The following is a 4,373-nucleotide window of genomic DNA, read 5'->3' as shown; positions in this document are numbered from 1 at the left end:
ACTTTGTAAATTATTTCAATAAATCTTTTAAGCAAAAATGAACACAAATTTAAAAAAAGCGTGTTTCAGGGAATTTTACTTATTTAAGTTGTGTTACTTGAGAAAGTTAATGATGAACTATAATTTTTATGAAATTATTGATCATTCATTTATCATTCCCCATGAGTGCCATCTTGATGTCACTAACCACATGAAAACCAAAAACCATGAATTCGCAGAAGAATTAGCATCTAATTCAAAGGGTCACTTTTAGTTTAGGAGAACCATGCCTGAAGAAAACAATTTGGCACATGAAGCAGAGACGTGCATATCCATCACTCTGAGAGTGCCTGGTTATTAAGATCAAATGACTGTTGTTCTGACTTAATTTTGTTCAAATTCAAACCCAAATCATATTAATTTTCTAAGGTTGTCATAAAAAAAAAGTGCACGCATGCGCGCGCGCGCACACACACACACACACACACACATACATGCACACACACACATAGACTGAGTGGATTCAACAACAGAATTTTATTTCCTTCCGGTTCTGGTGCTTGGAAGTTCAAACCAAGATGTCAACAGACTTGGTTCCTTCTGGGGCCTCTCTCCTTGGCTTGCAGACGGCAGCTTTTTCGCTGTGTCCTTACAGGCCCTTCCCTCTGTGAACACCCATCCCTGGTGTCTCCTTGTGCATCCAAATTTATTCTTTTTATAAGGATGCCAGTTATGTTGAATTAAGCACCTCCCCACCGTGTCAGGTGATTTTGACTTAATCATAAAGGCCCCATCTCCAAATACAGTTACATGCTGAGGACCTGGGAGTGAAGGCTTCAAGATATTAATATATTTGGGGGGAATAATTCCACTCATAAATTTTCTTATACCCACATATAAGTGACATGATTTCTACTTAACAGTTGGCTACATTAGCAGAATAATTATTTTAAAAGTTCAATGATGCCCGTTTAAAATCTGGTAAGAATTTGCTTCAAATCGATTTCAGTTAACTTATTATCAAAAATGGTTTATTTTGCCAGGCACAGTGGCATGCACCTATAGTATCAGCTACATAGGCATCTGAGGCAGAAGAATTGCTTCAGCCTGGGTGTTTCATGGCAGCCTGGGCAACATAGCAAGATCCTGTCTCTAAAAAATTGTTTATTTTTATCCAATGTATAAAAAAAATACCATATTGGTGGCAGGCAAGAGTTTGTGCAGAGGAACTCCCATTTATAAAACCATCAGATCTAGTGAGACTTTCTCACTATCACAAGAACAGTATAGGGAAAATCACCTCTATGATTCAGTCATCTCCACCTGGCTCCACTCTTGACAGCCTTGACACGTGGAGATTATTACAATTGAAGATGAGATTTGGGTGGGGACACAGCCTAACCATATCACCACTTATCCCACTTTTTCCGTGCCTTCTCCCCACTGCCTACTGCAGCCACAAGTTTGAACTTGGAACCTTTGCCCTTGCTGGTCTCACTAATGAAATATTTTTTCTCAGATATCTCCAGGGCTCCTTCCCTTCCCTTCTTCTAGTCTTTCCTTAAATGTTGCCTTTTCAGAGGTCATGCTATTAAAATTGCAAGGTACCCCTCAAGCAACAGTTACTTTGGATCACTCTTGCCTGGTTCTACTTTTTTCATTTTCATAGCATTAGAATCACTGAATATTTCAGTTTAAAGACAATGGATTGTAACTCTTGTCCTAACATAATTATAAGTAGGACAAACTTTCACTCTCCAAACGTGTCCCAAAAAATAAGTAGTATGCTCACCCCATATAAAAAGCACTTATTTACTATATCTATTGTTTTCACACTCTAACATGAAATCTAGGGGCTCAGGGAGTTTTATGTGTTCCAGTCACAGTTATGTCTAAAGTGTGAAGAATATTCTTGGCACAGAATAGTCATAATAAATATTTGTAATAATTAAATTGACTTTAGGAAACTAAAATTAGATGAAAAAACTTACAATAATGAGGTATTTTAAAAGCACCATGGCCTCTCAGACTAAAGTGACCAAGTCTGTTAGAGGGAGTGAAGAAAGATTCTCAGAAAAGTTGACACTTGACATATGTTTTAAAGACTGGTGGATTGTTTGTCACACAAGGAAATGATAAATGCTTGAGGATGGATACCCCATTTCCCTTTGATGTGATTATTACATATTGTATGCTTGTATCAAAATGTGTCATGCATGCCATAAATATACATTTATACACCAAATATGTATCCATAAACATTAAAAATGTAAATAAAGAATGATTCTGAGACAAATAAAAGAAGAGGAAGAAAAGGAAATACCAGACATTAAAAAAATCAGTACCACAGGTAAAACATCATGATGACATAAAATGCTGTGGTGTGTTCAGAAAACAATGGGAATTTTGACATGGATGAACACAGGATGTAGGAGGCATCATGGAGAAGATACTGGAAGCATAGGTTGAAAATAGAAGATAAGCTTTTGGACAAGAAGAATTTTGTATATAATAGTGGGATTCAGCAAGGAAGAAGCAGGAGCTGGGGTGGTCTCCCGCACTGCTCCCCACAGACTTCGGCTTCTTCCTCGGGACAGAGGGTAACATTGCAAGGTCATACTCTTTTGAAGTTAGATGTGACCAAGTGACTTGCTTTGGCCAAACAGTGAGAGCAGAAATGGTAGGTGCCACTTTCAGGCAGAAGCTTTAGGAGTCAAGGTCAACCTCGTGATCACTTTCTCCTTTCCTGGCAATCGTGGATTCATGAAGGAAGAGGGAGCCTCTCACAGCTTGGGTCCCTGAGTGTGGTTGGTGTAGAGAAGAGCGCCCCACCCAAGCCTGCCACAGTTGTCTGCTGGGGGAGAGAAATGAAGCATTCCTGTTTTAGGACTGAGCTACCCTTTCATTTTTCTATTTTTTTTTTAACCATAGCATAGCTTATTGCATTCTAATCTAAATATCTTTAAACAATGAAGTAAAATTATTACCCAAGTAAACATTTAATTACTCTGTAAATTGTGATGTAGAATTTCCGCATTAAAATATATATGATATAATTACTTAAGAATTTAAAAATTATTTTTGTAGCAAAACTAACTAGAAAAAAGGAAAATACATGACTATTGGCAATTTGGAGTTCTTAATCCTAAGTAACACATCAAATATGCTAAATTTGCTCTAACTGAGGTAGTAAACTGTGGTGTTGCATGCTTATACATATTTAAATAAACAAATAATGTATTAGAAAGTGCTTTAATTTATACTTCACAAAAGGTGAAAAATATCTATGTCTTTGTTCATTTCTTGAAATCCTTATGTTTCATTTATATTACATAACAAAAACATAAAGTGTTATTTTTGCAAGTATCTATTATTTTATGACAAAAAAGGCATATTTTTGTTGTAATCAACATCTTTGGTACAAAAAACATGTTTAATTCCCGGTTTGCTGTGCCAAGGAAATCATCAAAGTAGACAAGGGGTTGTCTGGGTGTGTAATAGCTCAGTGAGAGTTGGTAAAGAATGGCAGACATATAAAGGGTTGGCTGTTTTATTTTATTCCCATACAGTATGAAAAGCAATAGTGCATCAAGTATTTTATGCACTGGAAATCTAACTCTCTAGAGCTTATGTTTTTAAAGGTTCAGCAACTGAGCAGAAAGAGTCTAGATCAACAAATTAAGCTATGTTCACACTGATTGGCAGGGGCAGATGCAATTCCTTTCTTTCTTTCTACCAAGGAGGTCACATCTCAGAGGAAAATGAAAATCTCTGCATCTCAACCTGACACATTCCATTTGGTTCTCGAACATGATTCACCTAAGAAGTTATGAGTATGACACAGTTAATTTAGCAAGCACAATGGTTTGTTCAATAACATTAACCTTCTATAAAAACATCCCCATCTGTTTCCTAAAGTAAATATTATAAGATATAGGTACAATTAAAATTTTAGGCAGTATTCTACTCTATGGAATGTCAAAAAATCCAATAAAATGAAATTACATAAATATTTTTCATAAGATATAATGAATAAAAAGTTTAAATAAAGGTGTCTGCACTTTTCAGGATATGCTTTTTTATATTATGCAGAAATAGTCTTTGGTGGTCAAAGGCCATTGAGACATTATTCTTAGCTAAAGGAAGATATTATATCTTAATAAAATATTAGAACAAAATGGAAACTCTCTAACATGGCCTACAAGACTTTACATGATCTTATCCCTTTCCAATTTAATTTTATATCATTTTCCCCTTATTTATTTTTGTTAAACCACATTGGCTTTCTTTCTGTTTTCTTTAGAAGTCAACTCTCCTTCCCGCCTGAGGGCCTCTGCTCTTTCTATTGCTTGGAATCTTCTCACGATGGACTCAGCCTTTCTTTCACTCTCCAC

The sequence above is a fragment of the Homo sapiens genome, chromosome 13, assembly GCF_000001405.40.
Source record: "Homo sapiens chromosome 13, GRCh38.p14 Primary Assembly".
Classification (NCBI taxonomy): Eukaryota; Metazoa; Chordata; class Mammalia; order Primates; family Hominidae; genus Homo; species Homo sapiens.
This window is presented reverse-complemented; position numbering follows the sequence as displayed.